Source organism: Homo sapiens, chromosome X (assembly GCF_000001405.40).
Source record: "Homo sapiens chromosome X, GRCh38.p14 Primary Assembly".
Classification (NCBI taxonomy): Eukaryota; Metazoa; Chordata; class Mammalia; order Primates; family Hominidae; genus Homo; species Homo sapiens.
The window spans coordinates 118401600-118429258 of record NC_000023.11 but is presented as its reverse complement, the minus strand read 5'-3'; the positions used below and the strand labels follow the sequence as shown (position 1 = coordinate 118429258).

The following is a 27659-nucleotide window of genomic DNA, read 5'->3' as shown; positions in this document are numbered from 1 at the left end:
ACCTGAAACTTTTATAGTCTCTTTTTTTTTATGTTTTGAATTAAAAAATAATACTTCTTAAGTTCCAAGATACATGTGCAGAATGTGCAGGTTTCTTACATAAACGTGTGCCAGGGTGGTTTGCTGCACTTATCAACCCATCACCTAGGTATTAAGCCCCACATGCATTGGCTATTGTTCCTGATGCTCTCCCTCCTCCCATCCCCCTGACAGGCCCCACTGTGTGTTGTTCCCCTCCCTGTGTCCATGTGTTCTCATTGTTCAGCTCCTACTTATAAGTGATAACATGTGGTGTTTGGTTTTCTGTTCCTGCATTAGTTTGTTGAGGATAATGGCTTCCAGTTCCAGCCGTGTCCCTGCAAAGGACATGCTCTCATTCCTTTGTATGGCTGCATAGTATTCCATGGTATATATGTACCACATTTTCTTTACCCAGTCTATCATTGATAGGCATTTTTGTTGATTCAATGTCTTTGCTATATGGAATAGTGCTGCAATGAACATATGCCTGCATGTATCTTTATAACACAATGATTTCTATTCCTTTGGGTATATACCCAGTAATGGGATTGCTGGGTCAAATGGTATTTCTGGTTCTAGGTCTTTGAGGAATTGCCACACTGTCTTCCATAATGGTTGAACTAATTTACATTCCCCTCTTCCATTTGTTTTAATAAAAGTAGGTAAGCATAAAAGAAAACTTTAGAAAAACAGAGTATAAAGAATCAAAAGATGTGAAATCCTATCACTCAGAGATAAAGAATATTATTAATAATTTAGCATATTTCCTCAAAGTCTTTTATCTATAAATATTTATAGGGCCAGGCACGGTAGTTCGTCCCTGTAATCCCAGTGCTTTGGGAGGCTGAGGCAGGAGGATTGCTTGAGGCCAGGAGTTTGAGACCAGACTGGACAACACAGTGAGACTGTCTCTACAAAAATAATCATTATTATTATTATTACTATTTTTTGAGATGGAGTCTTGCTCTGTCACTCAGGCTGGAGTGCAGTGGTGAAATCTTGGCTCACTGCAACCTCTGCCTCCTGGGTTCAGGCGATTCTCATGCCTCAGCCTCCCAAGTAGCTGAGATTACAGGTGGCGGTCACCATACCTGGCTACTTTTTGTATTTTTAGTAGAGATGGGATTTCACCATGTTGGCCAGGCTGGTCTTGAACTCCTGATCTCAACTGATCCACCCACCTCGGCCTCCCAAAGTGCCAGGATTACAAGTGTAATAAGCCACTGTGCCTAGCCGCAAAATTATTTTTTAATTAAAAAAATAGGCCAGGCACAGTGGCTCACGCCTGTAATCTCAGCACTTTGGGAGGCCGAGGCGGGCAGATCATGAGGTCAGGAGATCAAGACCATCCTGGCTAACACGGTGAAACCCCGTCTCTACTAAAAATACAAAAAAATTAGCCAGGCTTGGTGGCAGGTGCCTGCAGTCCCAGCTACTCGGGAGGCTGAGGCAGGAGAATAGCGTGAACCCAGGAGGCAGAGCTTGCAGTGAGCCGAGATCGTGCCACTGCACTCCAGCCTGGACGACAGAGCGAAAAGAAAAAAAAAAAAAAAAGATTCCTGCCCTCATGGAGCTTACTTCATGGTGGAGAGGATGTACTGAGACGGCTAGAGCAGTTTCTCTCAAATAATATGAACTAATGAGTTAGTTACAGATGTCTGCCCATTTTGCCGGGTGTGGTGGCTCACGCCTGTAATCCCAGCACTTTGGGAGGCCGAGGAGGGCAGATCACGAGGTCAGGAGATGGAGACTATCCTGGCTAACATGGTGAAACCCCGTCTCTACTAAAAATACAAAAAATTAGCCGGGCGTGGTGGCAGGCGCCTGTAGTCCCAGCTACTCGGGAGGCTGAGGCAGGAGAATGGCGTGAACCCGGGAGGCGGAGCTTGCAGTGAGCAGAGATCGCGCCACTGCACTCCAGCCTGGGTGACAGAGCAAGACTCCGTCCCCAAAAAAAAAAAAAAAAAGCCAGGCATGGTGGTGCTTGCCTGTAGCACAAGCTACCCAGGAGACTGAGGTGGGAGGATTGCTTGAACCCAGAAGTTTGAGGTCACAACATGCTATGATGGTACCACAGCACTCCAGCATGGGTGACAGAGGGAGACTCTTATCCCTTAAAATATATATGTATATTTATAGGTACTTTTTAGTCAAAATTGTGGTAATATTGTATCCAATTTCACATTCTGCTTTCTTCACTTTATGTTTTATTGTGACCATTTTTAACATCATTAAATAGTCTTTGAAAACAATTTAAGGACTGCATGTATTTTACTGCATGGGTTATACCAGTTTTTATTTTCCAACTGTTAGAAATTTAGGTTGTTCAAATTTTAGCTATTATGAAAACACTAAGATGAGAATCTTCTTACTTATCTTTCAGAATATCTAATAATTTTTTGGTTTGTTTTTGTTTTTTGTTCTATTTTTTGGTATTTATTTTTTCTTGATTATTCCTTTATGATAAATTATTAAAGGTAGAATTACCAAGTAAAATGTTATATACATATATTTTTCTTTCTTTTTTTTTTTGAGATAGGGTCTTGTTCTGTTGCCCAGGCTAGAGTGCAGTGGCATGGCCTCGGCTCACTGTAACCTCCGCCTCCTGGGCTCCAGCGATCCTTTCACCCCAGCCTCCTGAGTAGGTGGGACCACAGGCATGTGCCACCACACTCAGCTAATTTTTGTTGTGTTTGTTTGTAGAGACAGGGTCTCTCTTTGTTGCCTGGGCTGGTCTTGAACTCCTGGGCTCAAGTGATCCTCCCACCTTGGCCTCTTAAAGTGCTGCGATTACAAGCATGAGCCACCATGCCCGGCCACTGTCTTTTTATTATGGGCATTTTAAATATATACAAAAGTAGATAGAAGAGTATAATGAACTCCATATAATATATTGAACCCCATGCATCCATCACCTGCTTTAACAATTATCAAAATTTTACCTACTTTATCAGTCTTCCCATTTTTGTTTATTTTTGCTGCAGCATTGAAAGCAAGATCTAGACACTAATAATTTTATCAGTAGATACTTCTATATATACCTCTGATAACCCTTCTTTTAAATATGATTACCGTGCCATTCTCATACCTAAAAAATACCATTTATATCATCTAATATCTAATCCACACTCAAATGTTCTAATTATCTAAAGATTTTCTTTTTTAGACGGAGTCTTGCTCTGTTGCCCAGGCTGGAGTGCAGCGGCACCATCTCAGCTCACTGCAACCTCCGCCTCCCGGGTTCAAGTGATTCTCCTGCCTCAGCCTCTCGAGCAGTTGGGTCTACAGGCACATGCCACCACACCCAGCTAATTTTTTTGTATTTTTAGTAGAGATGGGGTTTCACCATGTTGGCCAGGCAGGTCTCTAACTCCTGACTTCAGGTGATCCATCTGCCTCGGCCTCCCAAAGTGCTGGGATTACAGGTATGGGCCACCATGCCCGGCCTATCTAAAGATATTATAAAGTTGGATTGCTATGGAAAATTATAAGGCTTTTGACATTCATTAGCACATACAATATGTAGCAGATATACTGTATTGCTTATTTGGAATACCAGAATTAACAAGACATTTCTTATCTTTTTTTTTGAGATGGAGTCTTGCTCCATCACCTAGGTTGGAGTGCAGTGGTGTGATCTTGGCTCACTGCAACCTCCACCTCCCAGGTTCAAGTGGTTCTCCTGTCTCAGCCTCCCGAGGAGCTGGGAATACAGGCACCTGCCACCACACCCAGCTAATTTTTGTATTTTTAGTAGAGACAGGGTTTCACCTTGTTGGTCAGGCTGGTCTTGAACTCCTGACCTCAGGTGATCCGCCCACCTTGGCCTCCCAAAGTGCTGGGATTACAGGCATAAGCCACCATGCCTGGTCCTTATCTTCTTATAGTTTGTTCTCAGTATAAAAGTCAGAATGATCCTTTTAAAATAAATCAGATTATGTCATTCTCTGTTTGAAAACCCACTGATTCCCATCTTACTCAGAGCAAAAGCCAAAGTCCTTGCAATGTCCTATATGTTCTGATCCCCGCATCGACATCTCTATGTTTTCCTTTTCTATTTTCCTCTCCTTCTCACTCACTGGCTCCAGCTGCCCTTGCTGCTGTTTTTTGAGCACACCAGAACTCCTGCCTTATAGCAGCTTCACTTGCTGCTGTCTCTACCTGGAATGGTCTTATCATATGATCATTTCCTTACCTCCTTTGTACTTTGCTCGAACAACAACTTCTCAGTGAAGCTTTGCTCACCCACCTTATTTACTCCCTGCCATCCCACTTTGTTTTACTTTTCTTCACAAAACTGATTACCTTTGGAGATACACATGCAAAAAAATGAAATTGGACTCTTATATTACATCATATACAAAAATAAACTCAAAATGTATTAAATACTTAAATGTAAGGCCTGAAGCTGTAAAACTCCTAGAAGAAAACAGGAAAAAAACTTCTTGACATTGGACTTGGCAATGATTTCTTGGATATGACACCACACCAAAAGCACCAGCAGCAAAAGCAAAAATAGACAAACGGGACTGTATCAAACTAAAAAGCTTCTGCACAACAAAAGAAACAACCAACAACATGAAAAGGCAACTTACAGAATGGGAGAAAATATTTGCAAACCGTTTATCTAATGAATGGTTGATATCTAAAATATGTAAGAAACCCCTACAACTGAATGTCAAAAACCCCAAAATTCAAACAAATAACCCAATTTTTAAAATAGGCAAAGGACCTAAATAGACATTTCTCCAAAGAGGACATACAAATGGCCAATGAGTACATGAAAAGGTGCTCAACATCACCAATTAATCAGGTGATTTGATTTCCAAATCAAAACCACAATGATATATCACCTCACACCTGTTAGGATGAACATTATATATATATACATATATATATATATATATATATATACACACACACACATATATATATATACACATACACACACACACATATATATATATATATAAGATAACAAGTATTAGTGAAGATGTGGATAAAATGGAACCCTGTACAGTCGATGGGAATGTAAATTGGTGCACCTACTATGAAAACCAGTATGAAAGTTCCTGAAAAAACTTAAAATAGAACTACCATATGATCCTGCAATTCCACTTCTGGGTATATATTTAAAGTAAATAAAATCAGTATGTCAGAGAGGTATCTGAACTCCCATGTTCACTGCAGCATTATTCACAATAGCCTAGACATGGAAACAACCTAAATGTCCATTGACAGATGAATGGATAAAGAAAATGTGGCATATACACACAACAGAATACTATTCAGTCATAAAAAGAAAATCCTGGCATTTGTGATAACATGAATGAAACTGGAAGACATTATGCTAAGTGAAATTAAGCCAGATACTTTTTGGACAAATACTACATAATGCCACTTATATGATGAATCTAGAAACAACAAACTCATAGAAGCAGAGTAGAACAGTGATTGCGAGGGCCTTGGGGCTGGCGAAACAGGTGGTATTAGTCAAAGGGTACAAAGTTTCACTTTCAAAATGATTAAGTTTGAGAGATCTATTATATAGCACAGTGCATACAGTTTACAATACTGTATCGTATACTTAATAAATAAGAGGATGAGAATAAACTTTTATAGGTGATGCTTGGGTTATGGCACAGACGGTGGTGATGGTTTCATGCTTGTATACTTATCTCCAAACTCATTAAGTTCTATATAATAAATACATACAGCTTTTTGAATACCAATCATACCTCAATAAAGTGGTTTAAAAAATTAACTTATAGCCTGGCACAGTGGCTCACGCTTGTAATCCCAACACTTTGGGAGGCCAAGGCGGGTGGATCACCTGAGGTCAGGAGTTCGAGACCAGCCTGATCAACATGGTGAAACTCCGTCTCTACTAAATACAAAAAAATTAGCTGGGAGTGGTGGTACGTGCCTGTAATTCCAGCTACTTGGGAGGCTGAGGCAGGAGAATTGCTTGAACCCAGGAGGCAGAGGTTGCAGTGAGCCAAGATTGTGCCACTGCACTCCAGCCTAGGCAACAATAGTGAAACTCTATCTCAAAAAAAAAACAACTTTATATTATAAAATTTACTTATTTTCTGTCTTCTTCCACTAGAATGTATGCTCCATTCTATTTTTGTCTCTTGTTCACAGATATTTTTGTCTCTTTTGTTCACTTACTATATCTCTAGCTCCTAGAACAGTGATTAATAAAAATAGTAGGCACTTAATAAATATCTCTAGAGTGAATGAAGACATAGTCCCAGACCTCAAGATGTCAACTATTGGAGCATAATGGTTAAAAACATAAGCTCTAGAGACAGAGCAGGGTTCTAATACTGATGCTATGACTGTGTGAAATTGTTGAGTTACTTAACAGCTCTAAACCTTCATTTGTAAAGTGAGGCTATTAATAGTACCAAGACAAATCTGTATCAAATACTGCATACCTACATTTCACAAAAATTCTCTCACTCCCTTATAGTTAACTTCCTTTACCCAAGTTCTAGATTCTAATGATATACTCTCAGAAATTTTTCTTTTTTTTTTTTTGAGACGGAGTTTTGCTCTTGTCACCCAGGCTGGAGTGCAATGGTGCGATCTTGGCTCACTGCAACCTCCGCCTCCCGGTTGAAGCAATTCTCCTGCCCCAGCCTCCCAAGTAGCTGGGATTATAGGCACATGCCACCATGCCCAGCTAATTTTCGTATTTTTAGTAGAGACCGGGTTTCACCATGTTGGCCAAGCTGGTCTTGAACACTTGACCTCAGGTGATCCGCCTGCCTCGGCCTCTTCAAAGTGCTAGGATTACAGGCATGAGCCACCGCGCCTGGCTCAAAAAAATTTATTCGAGACAGGGTCTTGCTCTGTTGCCCAGGCTGGAGTGCAGTGGTGATCACAGCTCACTGTAACCTCAAACTCCTGAGCTCAGGTGATCCTCATGCCTCAGCCTCTCAAGTAGCTGGACTACAGGTACATGCCACCATGCTTGGCTATATATTTTTTTTTTTTAAATAGAGACATAGTCTTGTTATGTTACCCAGACTGGTCTCAAACTCCTGGACTCAAGCAATCCTCCTGCCTGGGCCTCCCAAAGTGCTGGGATTATAGGCATGAGCCACTGCACCTGGCCTATTCTCAAAAATTTTAAGCAGCAGTTAAATGCTACAACACCTATGCTAATGTTCCCTAGTCATGCACATTAAACATAAATTTGCAAGAAAAACATTACTTTCTAGGTACATAGCATACTTACAGCTTCTAGTATCAAAAAGAAATTTTATACTTATTAAAATGGATACAGTATATTCATATTTGCAATCTGATGCAATTATCAATTCTTAGAAGCCATGAGGTCTAACAGTCTCTGCAAAACCCAACTATTAAAAAAATCCCTACTTTATAAGTGTCTAAGATAATGGAGCATATTAGACATGCACCTCTTCCTGTCTTTCTTACATTTATTGAGCTAATTTTGAAAATTAACAGAAACAGAAAGTAGCCAGAATTCTAGGCTTGGCATTACCAATGCACAGGTGAGTGATCTTGGGTACATCACTCTGTATGTTCGACTGTACAATACTTTTATATATTATATTCCACACAGATGCTAAGACAAAAGACTGAAAAAGTACTTCAAAAGAGATGAAAAAGATATCACTATCATAAGAAAAAAAGAATACACACATCAGGAACATAAACTCCATTGTGTTTACTGTGCCTCACTGTGGCTAGCACTAGGTTAGAAGATAATTTCTGGTGTCAAACTCTAATGGCATGTGAAATAGAAGCCTCTTTTAACTGTCCCCAAATAAAATGACAGAAGGGAAACAAACCCCAAATGATCTCTTCCTGAAAACAATGGATATAAATGTTATTTCTCATGTAAAAAGGCTTTGTATTCAATAAAATTGTGAGTTACTTAGGTCTGTTTGGGGTTAGATGGATGTAGCTGAGGATCTATAAGTAGGATTGCTGAAATAAGCGCAATAAAAGATACTACAGATAGTCTCTATTTTTAATAGTAATCAATGCCTGGAAACTGTATGGTAAATTAAACTAATAAAAGCAAGCCCTTTTCCCTAAAGCAAAGCAGTTAAAATTATCTCTGCTACATTAGTCAGTGAGGCTTTATGGAGGAAGCGGGCCATGAAGAATGGGCATGCTTTGAATAGAAAGATGATCAAGGCATCCAAATAAGGGGAACAATAGGAATAAGGTCCACAGGCAGGAATTCAACATGATTATGGGCCTGCTACAGTCAGGAATGGAATTAGATTCCAAGGATACTAAAATCTGTGAAGTACAGTTCTTTGCCTTCAATCAGCCCAGAGCCTAGCCAGGGAGACTAACAAGAAAGACATGGTAATATCAGTATAAAAGTACCTATGATGTACTATTAGAATACAAATGAAGAACAATTTTATCTGCTGGATTCAGGGAAAATAATAAGATATTTGAGCTGAATCTTGAAGGATAAGTAGGGCTTTGCCCTGTGAAGGCAAAGCAAACAGCAGGGACAGAGACATGAAAGTGAAAGTGTTTATAGTGTACAGACCTGTATCAGGCACGGCTGGTAGGATGCACAGGCACTAGGGAATTGGAACTGAGTCAAAAGTTAAGATTAGGCAATACAGGGAAGAATCTTATTGTGGGGGAGATAAAGGGCCGTCAAAAGATTTTAAACCGCAAGGCTGGGCATGGTGGCTCACGCCTGTAATCCCAGCACTTTGGGGGGCCGAGGTGGGAGGATCACTTGAGGTCAGGAGTTTAAGACCAGCCTGGCCAACATGGTGAAACCCTATCTCTACTAAAAACACAAAAATTAGCTGGGCATGGTGGTGAGTGCCTGTAATACCAGTTATTTGGGAGGCTGAGGCAGGAGAACCCCTTGAACCCGGGAGGCGCAGGTTGCAAATGAGCCGAGATCATGCCACTGCACTCCAGCCTCGGCGACAGAGCGAGACTCTGTCTCAAAAAAAAGAAAAAAAAATTTTAAACCACACAATGGCACAGTCAATCTGTTTTGAAAAACCTGGCTGGCTGGTGGCAGTGTAGAAAATGAATTGGGTAGAGACCAGAGGCAGAAAAAACAATTAGGAGACTATGGCAAGCATTTAAATGAGTGTTGAAGACCTAGACGATGTGTGTGACAATTAGGGATGAGGGGGTAAGTTCCACAGGTATTTGTGGGTGGGGGTAGAGTGGCTAGGAATTTGTTACTAATTTGAAATGTGGGTAAGGAAGAAAAAGTAATGGAGTATTTTTGATTGAGTTAAAAAGGTAACGTGTAGATGTTGATGCCACTAAATAAGGTTCAGAAGTGAGGAGAAGCAGGTTTGTGGGTGAATGATGAAAATATTTCAATGAATGATCATAAAGATGACAGATTTGAGTTTAAAGTAGCAATAATTACAGTAAGTTTAAATGGTATAAATGTACCAATTAAAAAACAGAAACTGGCAGAGTGGGTAAAAAAACATGGTCTAACTATATGCTATCTATAAGAAACATTTTAAACATAATGGGATGCCATCATGGCAGACAGGAGGCAGGACTAGATTGCAGCTCCTACTCAGATGGACAGAGCAGCATGCGGAGGCTCACACCATGAATTTTAGCTGCAGATCGACTGCAAGAAAGAACTAGGAATCCCAAGAGAACCCACAGACCCTCTGAAGGAAGCAGAATGCTCCTGCAGGACCCAGGAGACACCCCGAATACTGTGAGTGCCCAAACTGCAGAAGTGGGAAAGGGAGATCCTCCTCTCCGGAACACACACCCCCACTGGGGAAACTGAACGTCTGTTTGCAGGATAAGTTTCTGACCTTACCTGGAGCTGAGTCAATTTAGAGAGCCCAGCGAAATATAGAAGTAGAGGAAGCAGCAGGAAAGCCTTGGGAGCTCGCTGGGTCTTCAAGCAGGCCATTCCTGCCTGGCACCACAGGGATCCTTCGGGAGGGCAGCCAGAGGAATAGGAGGGGAAACACTATAGGGAGAAGGAAGTCTCCAGCTGAACTTTGTAACAATTTGAACTGGCGAGAAGCCTCCTGGCCAGAAGGGGGAGGGCACGAATCCGGTGTGCAGACTCCATAGGTGGGGAAAGAACCAAGCCTTTTTCTTTCACAGCTGGGAGGTGAGTAGCCTGGGGCAAGTTCTCAGGCCCAGATCCCCTACTGCCTGGAAACAGACTTGGGGCTGTTGAGGGGGCATGGTGGGAGTGAGACTGGCCCTTCCGTTTGTGTGGGAGCTGGGTGAGGCCTGTGACTGCCAGCTTTCCCCCGCTTCCCTGACAACCTGCATGACTCAGCAGAGGCAGCCATAATCTTCCTAGGTACGCAACTTCATTGACCTGGGAACATCACATCCATCCCCCACAGCAGCCTCAGCAAGACCCAACCAAGGAGATTCTGAGCTCAGACACACCTAGCCCTGCCCCCACCTGATGGGCCTTCCTTATCCACCCTGGTAGCTGAAGACAAAGGGCATATACTCTTGAGAGTTCTAGGGCCCCACCCACCACCATTTCCAATCCATACTACCATAGCTTGATGCTCTTTGGAAAGCGCCACCTCCCAGCAGAAGGCCAACCAGCACAAAAATAGAAAATTAAACCACCAAAGCTAAGAACCCTCACAGAGTCCATTTCACCCCCCTGCCACTTCCACTGGTACAGGTGCTGGTATCCACGGCTGAGAGACCCATAGACGGTTCACATCACAGGACTCTCTGCAGACAACCTCCAGTACCAGCTCAGAGCTGGGTAGACTTGCTGGGTGGCTAGACCCAGAAGAGAGATAACAATCCCTGCAGCTCGGCTCACAGGAAGCCACATCCATAGGAAAAAGGGAAGAGTACTACATCAAGGGAACACCCAGTGGGACAAACGAATCTGAACAACAGCCTTCAGCCCTAGACTCTGACAGAGCCTACCCAAATGAGAAGGAACCAGAAAACCAACTCTGGTAATTTGACAAAACAAGGCTCTTTAACAACCCCCGAAAAATCACACTAGTTCATCAGCAATGCATCCAAACCAATAAGAAATCCCTGATTTACCTGAAAAAGAATTCAGGAGGTTAGTTATTAAGTTAATCTGGGAGGCGCCAGAGAAAGGCAAAGCCCAATGCAGTGAAATCCAAAAAACGATACAAGAAGTGAAGGGAGAAATATTCAAGGAAATGGATAGCATAAAGAAAAAAAACAATAAAAACTTCAGGAAACACTGTACACACTTATAGAAATGAAAAATGCTCTGGAAAGTCTCAGCAATAGAATTGAACAAGTAGAAGAAAGAAATTCAGAGCTCAAAGACAAGGTCTTCAAATTAACCCAATACAACAAAGACAAAGAAAAAAGAATAAGAGAATATGAATGAAGCCTCTACGAGGTCTGGGATTATGTTAAACACCAAACCTAAGAATAACTGATGTTCCTGAGGAAGAAGAGATGTCTGAAAGTTTGAAAAACATATTTGGGGGAATAATCAAGGAAAACTTCCCCGGCCTTGCTCGAGATCTAGACATTCAAATACAAGAAGCACAAAGAACAAGTGGGAAATTCATCACAAAATGATCATCGCGTAGGCACACTGTCATCACGTTATCTAAAGTTAAGACAAAGGAAAGAATCTTAAGAGCTGTGAGACAAAAGCACCAGGTAACGTATAAAGGAAAACCTAACAGATTAGCAGCGGATTTCTCAGCAGAAACCCTACAAGCTAGAAGGGATTGGGGCCCTATCTTCAGCCTCCTCAAACAAAACAATTATCACTAAGAATTTTGTATCCAGTAAAACTAAGTATCATATATGAAGGAAAGATACAGTCGTTTTCAGACAAACAAATGCTGAGAGAATTTGCCACTACTAAGCCACCACTATAAGAACTGCTAAAACGAGCTCTAAATCTTGAAACAAATCCTGGAAACACATTAAAACAGAACTTCTTTAAAGCATAAATCATACAGAACCTATAAAACAAAAATGTAAGTTAAAAAGCAAAAACAAAAAAAACCAAGGTACACAGGCAACAAATAACACTATGAGGTATCTCACATCTCAATACTAACATTGAATGTAAGTGGCCTAAATGCTCCAGTTAAAAGATACAGAGATGCAGAATGGATAAGAACCCACCAACCAACTATCTGCTGTCTTCAGGAGACATAAGGACTCAAATAAACTTAAAGGGGTGGTAAAAGGCGTTTCATGCAAATGGACACCAAAAGCGAACAGGGGTAGCTATTCTTATATCAGACAAAACAAACTTTAAAGCAACAGCATTTAAAAGAGACAAAGAGGGACATGATATAACAGTAAAAGGCCTTGTCCAACAGGAAAATATCACAATCCTAAACATTTATGCACCTAAGACTGGAGCTCCCAAATTTATAAAACAATTACTAATAGACCTAAGAAATGAGATAGACGGCAACACGATAATAGTTGGGGACTTCAATACTCCACTGACAGCACTAGACAGGTCATCAAGGCAGAAAGTCAACAAAGAAACAACGAATTTAAACTATACCTTGGAACAAATGGACTTAACAGATATATATACAGAACATTCCATCCAACAACTGCAGAATACACATTCTATTCAATAGCGCATGGAACCTTCTCCAAGATAGACCATATGATAGGCCATAAAACGAGCCTCAATAAATTTAAGAAAATTGAAATTATATCAAGCACTCTCTCAGACTACAGTGGAATAAAACTGGAAATGAACTCCAAAAGGAACCTTCGAAACCGTGCAAATACATGGAAATAAAATAACCTGCTCCTGAATGAGCACTCGGTCAAAAATGAAATCAAGATGGAAATTAAAAAATTATTTGAACTGAATGACAATAATGAAACAATCTATCATAACCTTTGGGATACAGCAAAGGTGGTGCTAACAGGAAAGTTCATAGCCCTATAAATGCCTACATCAAAAAGACTCAAAGAGCACAAACTGACATGCTAAGGTCACACTTCAAGGAACTAGAGAAACAAGAACAAACCAAACCCAAAGCCAGCAGAAGAAAGGAAATTACCAAGATCAGAGCAGAATTAAACTAAATTGAAACAAACAAAAAATACAAAAGATAAATGAAACACAAAGCTGGTTCTTTGAAAAGATAAATAAAATTGATAGACTGTTAGCAAGATTAACCAAGAAAATAAAAGAGAAAATCCAAATAACCTCATTAAGAAGAGAAACAGGAGATATTACAACTGACATCACTGAAATACAAAAGATCATTCAAGGCTACTATGAACACCTTTATGCACATAAACTAGAAAACCTAGAAGAGATGGAAAAATTCCTGGAAAAATACAACCCTCCTAGCTTAAATTAGGAAGAAATAGATACCCTGAACAGACCAATAACAAGCAGCGAGATTGAAATGGTAATTTAAAAATTATCAACAAAAAAAACAGTCCAGGACTGGCTGGGCACGATGGCTCATGCCTGTAATCCCAGCACTTTGGGAGGCCGAGGCAGGCGGATCACCTGAGGCCAGGAGTTCAAGACTAGCCTGGCCAACATGTTGAAACCTCGTCTCTACTAAAAATACAAAAACTAGCCGGGCATGGTGGTGTGTGCCTGTAATCCCAGCTACCAGGAAGGCTGAGGCAGGAGAATCGTTGGAACCCAGGAGGCGGAGGCTGCAGTGAGCTGAGATTGCGCCACTGCACTCCAGCCTGGGCAACAGAGTGAGACTCCATCTCAAAAAAAGTCCAGGACCAGATGGATTCACAGCAGAATTCTACCAGACATTCAAAGAAGAATTGGTAACAATTCTTTTGACACTATTCCACAAGATAGAAAAAGAGGGAATCCTCCCTAATTCATTCTATGAAGCCAGCATCACCCACTAATACCAAAATCAGGAAAGGACACAACCAAAAAAGAAAACTACAGACCAATATCCCTGATGAACATAGATGCTAAAATCCTTAACAACATACTAGCTAACCAAATCCAACAACATATCGAAAAGATAATCCACCCAGTTCAAGTGGGTTTCATAGCAGGGATGCAGGGATGGTTTAACATATGCAAGTCAATAAATGTGATACACCACATAAACAGAATTAAAAACAAAAATCACATGATCATCTCAATAGATGCAGAAAAAGCATTTGACAAAATCCAGCATCCTTTATGATTAAAACTCTCAGCAAAATCAGCATACAGGTGACATATCTCAGTGTAATAAAAGCCATCTATGACAAACCCACAGCCAACATAATACTGAATGGGGAAAAATTGAAAGCATTCCCTCTGAGAACTGGAACAAGACAAGGATGCCCACTCTTACCACTCCTCTTCAACACAGTACTGGAAGTCCTAGCCAGAGCAATCAGACAAGAGAAAGAAATAAAGGGCATTCAAATGGGGTAAAGAGAAAGTCAAACTGTCACTGTTTGCTGACGATATGATCATTTACCTCGGAAACCCTAAAGACTCCTCCAGAAAGCTCAGAACTGATAAAAGAATTCAGCACAGTTTCCAGATACAAGATTAATGTAAACAAATCAGTAGCTCTTGTATACACCAACAGCAACCAAGCGAAGAATCAAATCGATAACTCAATCACTTTTACAAAAGCTGCAAAAAAATAAAATACTTAGGAATATACCTAACCAAAGAGGCGAAAGACATCTACAAGGAAAACTACAAAACGCTGCTGAAAGAAATCATGGACGACACAAACAAATGGAAACACATCCCATGCTCATGGATGGGTAGAATCAATATTGTGAAAATGGCCATACTTCAAAAAGCAATCTGCCACATTTTCTTAATCCAGTCTATTATTGTTGGACATTTGGGTTGGTTCCAAGACTTTGCTATTGTGAATAGTGCCACAATAAACATACGTGTGCATGTGTCTTTATAGCAGCATGATTTATAGTCCTTTGGGTATATATCCAGTAATGGAAAAAAAAAAACACAAAACCATGGAACATAAAAAAAAAAAAAAAAAAAGCAATCGCAAGTTCAACGCAATCCCCATCAAAATACCACCATCATTCTTCACAGAATTAGAAAAAACAATTCTAAAATTCATATGGAACCAAAAGAGCCCACACAGCCAAAGCAAGACTAAGCAAAAGAACAAATACGGAGGCGTCACACTTACTGATTTCAAACTATAAGGCCATAGTCACCAAGACAGTATGGTACTGGTATAAACATAGGCACACAGACCAATGGAAAACAATAGAGAACCCAGAAATAAACCCAAATATTTACAGCCAACTGATCTTTGACAAAGCAAACAAAAACATAAAAAGTGGGGAAAGGACACCCTTTTCAACAAATGGTGCTGAGATAACTGGCTAGCCACGTGTAGGATAATGAAACTGGATCCTCATCTCTCACTTTATACAAAAATCAACTCAAGAGGGATTAAGGACTCGAATCTAAGACCTGAAAGCATAAAAATTCTAGAAGATAACATTGGAAAAACCCTTCTAGACATTGGCTTAGGCAAGGATTTCATGACCAGGAACCCAAAAGCAAATGCAATAAAAATAAATAGTTGGGACTTAATTACACTAACGAGCTTTTGCACAGCAAAAGGAACAGTCAGCAGAGTAAACAGACAACCCACAGAGTGGGAGAAAATCTTCACAATCTATACATCCAACTAAGGACTAACTAATATCCAGAATGAACAACAAACTCAAACAAATCAGTAAGAAAAAAACAGTCCATCAAAAAGTGGGCTAAGGACATAAATAGACAATTCTCAAAAAAATATACAAATGGCCAACACACGTATGAAAAAATGCTCAACATCACAATAATCAGGGAAATGTAAATCAAAACCTCGATGTGATACCATCTTACTCCTGCAAGAATGGCCATAATAAAAAATCAAAAAATAGATGTTGGCGTGGATGTGGTGATCAGGGAACACTTCTACACTGCTAGTGGGAATGTAAACTAATACAACCACTGTGGAAAACAGCGTGGAGATTCCTTAAAGAAATAAAAGTAGAACTAACATTTGATCCATCAATCCCACTATTGGGTATCTACCCAGAGGAAAAGAAGTCATTATTAGAAAAAGATACTTGCACACGCACGTTTATAGCAGCACAATTTGGAATTGCAAAAACGTGGAACCAACCCAAATGCCCATCAATCAACGAGTGGATAAAGAAACTGGTATGTATACACGATGGAATACTACTCAGCCATAAAAAGGAATGAATTAACAGCATTTGCAGCAACCTGGATGAGATTGGAGACTATTATTCTAAGAGAAGTAACTCAGGAATGGAAAACCAAACATTGTATGTTCTCACTGATATGTGGGAGCTAAACTATGAGGACGCAAAGATGTAAGAATGATACAATGGACTTTGGGGACTTGGGAGGAAGAGTGGGAGGAGGGTGAGGAATAAAAGACTACAAATAGGTGCAGTGTATACTCCTTGGGTGATGGGTGCACCAAAATCACTAAAGAACTTATGTAACCAAATACCACCTGTACCCCAATAACTTATGGAAAAATTAAAATATAAAAAATATTTCTATGAGTGACCATTACCATGTAGCTAACTACGCAAGCTAGACACCTGTGATTCATCCCAGGCTACTCACTTTTACTACCCCAGCTAGTCAGTCACCAAGTCCTACAAATTAGACTTATTTTACATCTCTCAATTCAGCTTATCTTTACAGTTTCTAGCTCTACTGGTATCATAATCATCAAAATCGGAAGTAACCATTTCTCTGGGTTAATAGCCTCTTACATGGTCTCCCTGTCTCAAACCTGAAGCCCCCACCTAGTCTATCCTTCACAATACTACCAGAATACTCTTTCTAAAACAAAAATCTGAACATGGTAATTATGCCTCTGAGTGAAATCCTTCAAAGCCCCACCCTGCTCCCAGTAGTTTGCAGGATAAAGTTCCATCTTGGTTCATCACAAAAAGTCATTTAAAATTCCACTCCTGCCTACCTCTCCCACCAATCTCACAAATGCACCTTTCCCAGCCATGTGTAATTCCTTGTAGTACCTTTAACATACTAGCCTCCATGCTTTTGCACTTGCTAGTCCCTGGGTCTGACACGCTCCTTCCTTTCTTCTCTCATATAGCTAAATCCTAGCTCAAATAACAAGTTTCCAGGAAACTATTCCTAACACTGTGATTTATAAGGCTAACCTATTTTTGTGTAGTACCTTCTGTAGAATATCACCATCTAATACTGTAATTGTGAGTTTACCCATTTCACTAGTTCACAAGATCCCTGAGGACAGAGAATATGTCTCATTTGATTTTATAGCATGTAGCAGTGTCTGCCACATATAGCAGGCACTCAGAAAACATTTGTTGAAGGAGTTTAGTTTTGGACCTATTAGTTGATGTGGTTGGATTACATGTAGATAAAGAGATCCTATATATTATGTGAAAAGGCAGCAAGCACAATAATGTTCTTGTTTAAAAATCATAAAGTTACTGAAAGTAAACAAAGAATTACAGATCTAAAGCCAGTTCAGGACTAGAAGAAGAGCATAAATATGTCTATTGAAAATGGCCAAGAACAGACCCTGAGAAACAGTAAATGTAAGGAGATGGAAGAAGAAACAGTGGGAGTATAAGAGAACAAAGGGAAACAGAACCATGGAAAGCCAGGAGAAGGAGAAAACGTAGTGTCAAATACTGGAGCCAATGAAATCTCAGGAAAATACTGTTGAGCAGGTAGACATTTTAGGTTCTCTTGTTTATATCACCCTTACCTAATGCAACACACAAAAAACACAGGTGACAACTTAGTACAATATTGTGTATTCTGCTTTATAGGTTTAAAATTGGTTATATTTAACCTTCCAGCTCTAAAACCAAATGAAAATCATTAAGATACCTTATCTGAAACTGTGATAAAGTGTTTATTAAACCAAGAAGATTAGAAAATTAAAATACTTAAATATATTTTTTCTTTCCTTAATTACCTCTTATTTGGGTATCTATTATCATTATTTTAAAAATGTCTAACATGGATTTGAGGGGAGGGGCTTTTGTATTATTTAAGTTTACATTAGTGGTATAGTACCCTGAGCAATAGTATTCACTGTCTGGCAACCTTTAAATATCAAAAATTTTCATTTGCTAATTTCTTCTAATTGAAGAAACTCTTGGTTCTAATGATACATCTTAATTTTATATTAAGTGTCTTCATGCAACTGTAATTTCTGATACACAAAAATACTTTATGGTAAACAAATTAAATCATACCTGAAAACAGAGTAACCATAAAACAATAAGCATACCCCTGTATCTGTATCCGATTTTGATGAACTTAGACTTTCCTGAGAGGGTGATGGGGACACACGTCCTAAAAACAACATAATAATTGTAAAAAAGGCATGTATGTACACACACAGACCCACCAAAATATAACATCCAGAAGTAATGACACAGCAATGTCTAATAGTTAGAGAATACAGTATTCTAGAAAAATACTAACAATTGAGGCATAACCCTATAGGAGCCAAAATATTTGTTTCAATCATTTTTACATAAAAACTTCATAAAATGGCTTAACCATTTCCCTACTTTAGTAAACAAAATACCGTTAAATCCTCAGTATTCGAATAGAACACATTCTTATTAATCATGACAAGTAGCAAGAGGAACAATAAAGGAGCAGAAAGGTTCAGGGCTGGGGTTAGTCTCAAGGGCCACTGAAAATAGTCTTTTTGCTCTTGGCAGGGCAGTAAAAGAAATGACACACAGCTAGGACTAGAAAAACTCACCATATAGTAAACACAGTTTAACTTCTTGTCAAATTATTATCATCTTCAACTAAGTACTGAAACATAATGCAAGCAATACTCACAGGATTTACTCAAGTATATGAGGTCTAGCTTGCCAGTTTAGTGAATCTCCCTAGACTTTTATGTTCCTCAAATTGGTGCTTTGACTATATACTCTCACCCATGGCCACCTTTCTTCTCCTTTCTCCTATGCTTTACTTCTCGTTTGCAGCCTTACTTGATGGCGGGGAGGGTGTGGAAAAAACTTATTACACAGTTAAATAGTTATTAGAAAAGAATCCCATGAACTTAAAGCCCAAATTTACATCAGTTCTACATACTTTCCTGATAACACCATGATACATAAATATCTGTACATAGTTGTAATCAGTGTGTACATAATGTTCTGAGGCTTCTCTTTTCAACATTTTTTCATATATCCCTTGATATATTGACAATTCACATTCATTTTCCATGACTTTTTCCTTAATCATTTTTACTTACTGGATATATATGATTTTCATTCTTTTTCCAGTTTAATTAGCAATTCTATTTTAACCTAGGATAGAACTGAAGGTTGCCAGAGGAAACCAAATATCATGTTCTCAATAGTTGATGAAATTAACTACACACTACACCTGGAAAGGAATAAATCAAAAGCTTTGTGGCAGCTCTTTTCATTGGGTTTAGAGACTTTTTGCCACTGACGTCTGTCTTACTTTCAAGTTTTTGGCTATTATCATAAGTAGTGGTTGCTGCAAATGACTGCCAGAAAAGTAGGGCATCAGTATACCTAAAATGTAAAAACTTCAGGTTTCTGTAGATTTTTAAATAGATGAAAAATACCTTCAGTATTGTATTTCATTCGCATATTGTTGAAATAGTCAAAAGCATTTTTTAAAGCCCATATTCTCACTACATTGTCTTGTCCAGCTGAGGCAAGTAATCGGCCACAGTGAGAAAATTTCATGGTCCAAACAGCTCCCTATGAAAACAAAAGAAGTTTCAAAGTTAATACTTTACACCTTTAGAGACTTTACTTTTGGCCTGGCATGGTGGCTCACGTCTGTAATCTCAGCACTTTGGGAGGCTGAGGCAGGTGGATCACCTAAGGTCAGGAGTTCGAGACCAGCCTGGCCAACATGGTAAAACCCCATCTCTGCTAAAAATACAAAAATTAGCTGGGCATGGTGGCGGGCGCCTGTAATCCCAGCCACTTAGGAGGCTGAGGCAGGAGGATCACTTGAACCTGGGAGGTGAAGGGTGCAGTGAGTCAAGACCGCGCCATTGCACTCCAGCCTGGGCAACAAAAGCGAAACTCTATCTAAAAATAATAATAAATAAAATAAAATAGAGACATTACTTTAAAGCCAAAGTTTAAAATTACGCCAAATTACATATACTAAGATAATGCTCAAATTGCTAACACTACTTAAGTCCAAAAGTTCAATGGTGCTATAATACCACAAAAGTAGACTTTCACAAGAAAGGTAGGGTAAGATAGTTGTAGTGTTCCATAATCTAAACTAACAACTTCAAGAACTCAAACCCTGTCCACATATTAACAGAAATGGGAGTTCTAAAGTGGTCAGAAATCTTCATTGGAAAAGCACAAATCCTAGCTGGGGATCTTAGTCCCCTAGCTGAACGTAAAGATGGGTGGCAGAGCCCTCAGCATAGCACTAACAACTGAGCAGGACTGAGGAAGACTAAAGCCCACCTTGGCAGTGACCCGTATAGCATCCAGCACTTAGAAGTATTACAGTTTTGGAATGGGCCGGGCGTGGTGGCACGCGCCTGTAATCCCAGCACTTTGGGAGGTCCAGGCGGGTGGATCACTTGAGCTCAGGAGTTTGAGACTAGCCTGGGCAACATGGCGAAACCCCATCTCTACAAAAAATACAAAAAATTAGCCAGGCATGGTGGTGCGCACCTGTGGTCCCAGCTACTCAGGAGGCTGAGGAGGGAGGACTGCTTGAGCCCAGGAGGCAGAGGCTTCAGTGAGCTGAGATCCCGCCCCTGCACTCCAGCCTGGGTGACAGAGCGAGACTCTGCCACAAAAAGAAAAAAAAAAAAAGGTAGTTGTATTGGAGTGGTGTGGTCTCATCCTACTTTTCTCTCTAGAAACAAGGTTTCAAAGTATATGACCAGAATCTCTAGATACTGAGAACAATAGGAAAGTATGTGTGTGTGGTGGGGGTGGAGGAGCAGGGAGAAAGAACATGAACCTCTTAAGTTGGAAAGACCAAATCTTATTACAAGAAATACTATTATATACACATTCAGATGTATCAAAAAGATTATGCCACAGCCCATTTATTGAAATAACCATTCACTTCTACAAAATTCAAGTGTATTAAAAATGAGTCATTTGGAGCCTACTACGATGAGATTTTATTTAAAACAGGAAATAACGAGTCAATACAGTACTAGGAAATTCATCAATTTCCTTAAGGAAAATACTAAAATCAACTCAAACATTTATCTGTAAACATCAAAATTTAAATTTGAATTTGGTTGCCATCCAATATATTTATGGTTGCTTCATTCTAGTTAAGCCAACTTTTAGACTTAAAATGTAAACAGATTCCCTGATCAAGGGCACAGTATTATTTATTCAGATCTAAATTTTATCACTGCCTTCTTTGTGTTCCTAGCATTTTCAGGGGTTAACCACAATACAGTTTGTGCAATTGCATCTACATTGGTACATTTGAACTCTAAAGGAGAACTTGAACTTTTACCTCTCTCCTTGTTTTAGCTGAATATCTCACTTTACAACATATATTGAGCTTCTGATATATTTTGTAAATTATTTAAAATATGGTTGGGAGCATTTTAAACATTTTTCAAAGTTACACCCTCTAATCTAACTGCTTTAAAGTTTGGTGCCTTTGCATAGCTTTCTTAGTGATACAGCCTGAGAGTTTACTTATTCAATAACTCCTTTCTTTCTTTTTTTTTTTTTTTTGAGACGGAGTTTTTTACTCTGTAGCCCAGGCTGGAGTGCAGTGGCACAAACTCGACTCACCACAACCTCTGCCTCCTGGGTTCAAGCAATTCTCCTGCCTCAGCCTCCCAAGTAGCTGGGATTACAGGCACCCGCCACCATGCTTGGCTAATTTTTATATTTTTCGTAGAGACAGGGTTTCGCCATGTTGGTCAGGCTGGTCTCGAACTCCTGACCTCAAGTGATCCGCCTGTCTTGGCCTCCCAAAGTGCTGGGATTACAGGCGTGAGCCACCGCACCTGGCCGATAAGTCACTTCTGGAATAATTCAGAGATAGACTTTGCATTACCTATTCATTAAATCATGTTAACATAAATTCCCCGTTCTTGAGTCAGGCTAGCAAAGTTACATACATAGAAAGAGATAGTTTTGTAGAAGCCAAAGTATTTCTCTTAACAAAAACAGTATCAATCCTAAAAAATGAAAAAGTTGCTTACCATATGTTCACCACTAAGATCTTGCACCACTTTGATCTGATCAAAATCATAAGGTCCTTTGAAACCGTGTGCTGCTTTGAATTTAACTGGTCTTGTGTATGGCATTCCTTCATCATCACTTGATGAAGGATCATCTTGATCAGTATGAAACACTGAACAGAAAAGCAACAGAAATCACTACTAGCTAATGTAGATATTGCTATTATCATAATTTCATATTTCCTGCATACCAAGAAAATTCATTAAATGGAAGAGCAAAATTTATTTATTATATAACATACTGGTTAAAAACATGGAGTCTAATGCCAGACTGCCAGGTTCAAATCCAGCTCTGTCATTTATTATCTGTGTGACCACAGGCAAGTTACTCAACTTTCGATGCCTCTTAGTTTTCTCATCTATCAAATGGGGATAATGATGGTACTTACCTCATAGGGTTTCTATGGGATTAAATGAATTAATACAGGTAAAAGTGCTTAGTACAGTCCCAGGCACTGAATAAGTACTATGTAAGTTTCATTAAATAAAACAAATGAGTACAATAATGACAAAAGCATAGGAGGTTAAGATATGTGCAAATTTAGAAAATTTACCTAATTAAAAAAATTTATTTATTTATTTTTATACAAACAGGGGTCTCACTATGTTGCCCAAGCTGGTCTCCAACTCCTGGGCTTAAGTGATCCTCCTGCCTTAGCCTTCCAAAGTGTTGGGATTACAGATATGAGCCATCATACCCAGCCCTACCTAATTTTGAAAATACAGTTATTCCCCAGTATCCATGGCAGGACCTGCTATGGGTACCAAAATCTGCGAATGCTCAAATCCCTTAACATAAAATGGCATGGTATTTGCATATAACCTATGCACATCCTTTCACGTACTTGCTTTCTTTTTTAAAGACAGGGTCTCAGGTTGGAGTGCAATGGTGCAATCATAGCTCATTGCAGCCCTGAACTCTTGGGCTCAAGCAATCCTGCTCCTTGGCCTTCTGAGTAGCTGGGACTATAGGCACACGTCACTACACAAAGCTAATTTTTATTTTTTAGTAGAGACAGGGTCTCACTATGTTTGACCAGGCTAGTCTCGAACTCCTGGCCTCAAGCGGTTCTCCTGTCTTGGCCTCTCAAAGTACTGGAATTATAGGCATGAGCCACCATGCCTCGCCCTGTATACTTTAAATAATCTCTAGATTACTTATAATATCTACTGCAGTGTAAATGTTATATAAATAGTTGTTATATTATTTTTTCTATTATGTTTTATTGTTGCATTGTTATTTTTTATATATTTTTAAAAATATTTTTCTATCTGTGGTTGTTTGAATCCCTCCATGTGGAACCCATGGATATGGAGGACTGACTGTATTTGTAAAAACCAAATAGCTGGCCAGGCGCGGTGGCTCACGCTTGTAATCCCAGAGCTTTGAGAGGCTGAGGTGGGCAGATCACCTGAGGTCATCAGTGCGAGACCAGCTTGGGCAACATGGTGAAACCCTGTCCCTACTAAAAATACAAAAATTAGCCAGGTGTGGTGGCAGGTGCCTGTAATCCCAGCTACTTGGGAGGCTGAGGCAGGAGAATTGTTTGAACCCAGGAGGCAGAGGTTGAAGTGAGCCGAGATCGTGCCACTGTACTCCAGCCTGGGTGACAGAGCGAGACTCCATCTCCAAAAAAGAAAAAAATAGCCTTGGCCAGACGTGGTGGCTCATGCCTGTAATTCCAGCATTTTGGGAGGTAGAAGTGGGTGGATCACCTGAGGTCAGGAGTTCAATACCAGCCTGGCCAACATGGCAAAACCCTGTCTCTGCTAAAAATACAAAAATTAGCCAGGTGTGGTGGTGTGTGCCTATAATCCCAGCTACTTGGTAAGCTGAGGCAGGAGAATGGCTTGAACCCAGGAGACGGAGGTTGCAGTGAGCCAAGATCATGCCATTCCACCCCAGTCTGGGCGACAGAGCAAGACTTTCTCAAAAAAAAAGAAAAAAGAAAAACCCAAAACCAAATAGCCTTAAAAAACTAATTTATGGCCGGGTGCAGTGGCTCACGCCTGTAATCCCAGCACTTTGGGAGTCCGAGGCAGGCAGATCACGAGGTCAGGAGATCGAGACCATCCTGGCTAACACAGTGAAACCCCGTCTCTACTAAAAACACAAAAAATTAGCCAGGTGTGGTGGCAGGCGCCTGTAGTCCCAGCTACTCGGGAGGCTGAGGCAGGAGAATGGTGTGAACCTGGGAGGTGGAGCTTGCAGTGAGCCGAGATCGCGCCACTGCACTCCAGCCTGGGCAACAGAGTAAGACTCCATCTCAAATAAACAAACAAACAAACAAACGAAACTAATTCATAACTGATTATTTAACACTCAACCATTTCAGACTGTCAAAAGTCACAAAATATGTATAAATCCATTTTTCTTCACACTCATAAAATTAAGTCATAGAGTACCTTATTTATTGAAATACTAAGATGTCAGCTATAAAGGTTTACTATTTTAAATAGAATGCTTCTTACAAACTACAGGCTAAATTTAGACGATTACAAATTAATTGAATGTTTAGTTGAAATGTTCTGTTTTAACTCACCTTCATCTCTAACACTTTTAACTTTATTTATAGCACGTTCACCATATTCCTCAGCAAGGTGCTTTGCTCTCTTTACTGATTTTCCAAGAAACTTCTTTAGTTGAGTCCTTAACAAAAATGAAAAAAGTATCAACTCAGTTAACTGTAAAAGTCCAATAATTTGCAGACAAATGTATCAGCTGTGACTGATAAAGTACACTACTTTGAAATAACTTTTTTAAACATAAATAATAGGTGTTTGAGTTCCAAATCCCTTATTCTATGGAATAAACATATTCAAGTCAATATGGCAAAGGAAACATACACCCTTTCCCCCAATTTACAATATTCATATATTCTAGAGCTTTGGTTTTCAATGGTGAATAAAAATTGATTGGCAGAGGTAGTGTGGAGAGGGGAGTGTTTAAAGTGTAGGTACTTCAGCTCCATCCCCAGATAATCCAATTTAGAGAGTCTGGGGGTGAGAACTGCTTTGAGAAGGCTGCTTTAGAGAGCTGTTCTTAAAAACACATTTTACCAATAAAGAGTAAAGAGATATTTCCTCACAAAATAGAATGCTTTGGTAGCTTAAGATGGTCCCTTGTCCCTTCTCTTTCAGTTTGGGTAGGTGCATGTAATAAAATTAGGCTGAGTTTTCCTAGTAGGTATTCCCAAATACGAGGTAAACTAAGTATGCATCTCAAGCTTCCATAAATAGGACTTACTTATTGCATTTTCAATTAGCTAAGTCTCAGATTTCATATATTAAGATTACAAAAAGCAATGCACAGTACATGATGATATTTAAAACCAAAAGAAATACAAATCAGGAGTAAATTTTTACTGATTCATGGGAGCTCATGAGGGACAGTATTTTTAAAAGTTGTTAAGTTATATATACAGAGAAGTTCAATGTAACACTGTTTAGAATAGTCAAAAAGTGGAAATAAACTAAATTTTTTTTTGTCAATAGAGGAACAGATAAATAAGTGCTGGTATGAAATACAATAAAATTAATGAGGCAAACCTCAGCTTTTTAAATGTGCCAAGCTCTTATAGTAACCTCAGGGGCTTTGCATGTGTGGTTATTTCTGCCTGGAACACCTCTCCCTTGGCTAATTCCCACTCACTTTTTAGGTCTCAGATCAAACAGCTCTCTCAAAATGGCCTTTTTAACTTTAGACAGAGTTTTTGTTACATAGTCCCCGTTTATCCCAAGTTTGACTTTACATGGTTTCAGTTACCCCAGTCAACCATGGTCCAAAAATATTAAATGGAAAATCCCAGAAATAAAACAATTTGTAAGTTTTAAATCGTGTGCCATTCTGAGTAGCATGATGAAATCTCACACCACCCTGCTCCATCCTACCTGGGATGTGAATCATCCCTCTGTCCAGTGTTTCCACGCTATAGATGATACCCACTTATTACTTAGTAGTCTTCTTGGTTATCAGATAGAAAAAACACAGTAGATACAGAGTCTGGTACTATCTGTGATTTCAGGTATCCACTGGGGATCTTGGAACGTATACCCCATGGATAAGAGGGAACTACTGTAATATCTCCACAGCACCTGGAACTTTTCTTTTATAGCAATCACTACAAATGTAGCTAGACTTATCTGTGCAATTACATGTTTAATGCCTATTTCTCCCATTTAACAGAAGTTCTATGAAGGCAGAGACCACGAATGTCTTTTTTATAAATTGTTTTTAATTGAGACAGAGTCTTGCTCTGTTGCCCAGACTGGAGTGCAGTGGCATGATTTTGGCTCACTGCAGCCTTGACATCCCAGGATCAATAGACCCACCTGCCTCTGCCTTCTGAGTTGCTGGGATTACAGGCACACACCACCATGCCTGGCTAATTTTTGTATTTTTTGTAGAGACGGGGTCCTGCCATGTTGCCCAGGCTGGTCTTGAACTCCTGGACTCAAGTGATCCACCTGCCTTGGCCTCCCAAAGTGCTCGGATTACAAGCATGAGCCATTGCACCCATCCTGAATGTTTTTTTTTTTTTTTTTTTTTTTTGAGACAGAGTTTCACTCTTGATGCCCAGGCTGGAGTGCAAAGGCATGATCTCAGCTCACTGCAATCTCTGCCTCCTGGGTTCAAGCAATTCTCCTGCTTCAGCCTCCCGAGTAGCTAGGAGTACAGGCGCCCACCACCATGCCCAGCTAATTTTTTGTATTTTTAGTAGAGATGGGCTTTCACCATGTTGGCCGGGCTGGTCGTGAACTCCTGACCTCAGGTAATCCACCTGCCTCGGCCTCCCAAAGTGCTGGATTACAGGCATGAGCCACCACGCCTGGCCTCTTAATGTCTTAACTGTTATATCCCAAGCACTTAACTCTCATATCTGGCTCTCAGAAAGACTACAATATATATATTATTAGTGCTGATATAAAGAGATGTCTATGATATATTTGATTTTCTAAAAAAAAACCAAAAAAACAAAAAAAACAAAAAACAGCAAGTTGACAAACTATAGACATAGAGTAGCCCCGCTTTTACGAGAAAAAAAAATTCTATGGCGAATACACCATGCTATTAAAACTGATTTCTGGATTGGCTAGCCATATGTAGAAAGCTGAAACTGGATCCCTTCCTTACATCTTATACAAAAATCAATTCAAGATGGATTAAAGATTTAAACGTTAGACCTAAAACCATAAAAACCCTAGAAGAAAACCTAGGCATTACCATTCAGGACATAGGCATGGGCAAGGACTTCATGTCTAAAACACCAAAAGCAATGGCAACAAAAGACAAAATTGACAAATGGGATCTAATTAAACTAAAGAGCTTCTGCACAGCAAAAGAAACTACCATCAGAGTGAACAGGCAACCTACAAAATGGGAGAAAA

At 39.7% G+C, this 27659-nt stretch overlaps 1 protein-coding gene across 4 annotated transcripts in view, besides 3 other annotated features; it reads right to left on the bottom strand.

Annotated features, from left to right (window-relative positions):
• Positions 1–27659, bottom strand: part of WDR44 (WD repeat domain 44) — a 103889-nt gene that overhangs the window by 20703 nt on the left and 55527 nt on the right. For all 4 annotated transcript variants that reach the window (NM_001184966.1, NM_019045.5, NM_001184965.2 and 1 more), the window contains 4 exons: positions 24815–24921; positions 22233–22384; positions 19632–19770; positions 18300–18364 (listed from right to left, as the gene is read on the bottom strand). In NM_001184966.1, coding sequence (NP_001171895.1) covers positions 18300–18364; positions 19632–19770; positions 22233–22384; positions 24815–24921 — 463 coding nt within the window. The remainder of the gene's footprint in view (positions 1–18299; positions 18365–19631; positions 19771–22232; positions 22385–24814; positions 24922–27659) is intronic.
• Positions 3824–4041: a silencer, noted in NCBI's record as "fragment chrX:117559181-117559398 (GRCh37/hg19 assembly coordinates)". NCBI's record gives its function as "represses an EF-1alpha promoter that drives an FKBP-Casp9 reporter gene in an ReSE screen in HepG2 liver carcinoma cells {active_cell/tissue: HepG2}" and the evidence as "EXISTENCE:reporter gene assay evidence [ECO:0000049][PMID:32094911]".
• Positions 9852–10387: an enhancer, noted in NCBI's record as "H3K27ac hESC enhancer chrX:117552835-117553370 (GRCh37/hg19 assembly coordinates)". NCBI's record gives its function as "activates a minimal SCP1, AML or CMV promoter by ChIP-STARR-seq in primed H9 embryonic stem cells {active_cell/tissue: H9 hESC(primed)}" and the evidence as "EXISTENCE:reporter gene assay evidence [ECO:0000049][PMID:30033119]".
• Positions 10388–10923: an enhancer, noted in NCBI's record as "H3K27ac hESC enhancer chrX:117552299-117552834 (GRCh37/hg19 assembly coordinates)". NCBI's record gives its function as "activates a minimal SCP1, AML or CMV promoter by ChIP-STARR-seq in primed H9 embryonic stem cells {active_cell/tissue: H9 hESC(primed)}" and the evidence as "EXISTENCE:reporter gene assay evidence [ECO:0000049][PMID:30033119]".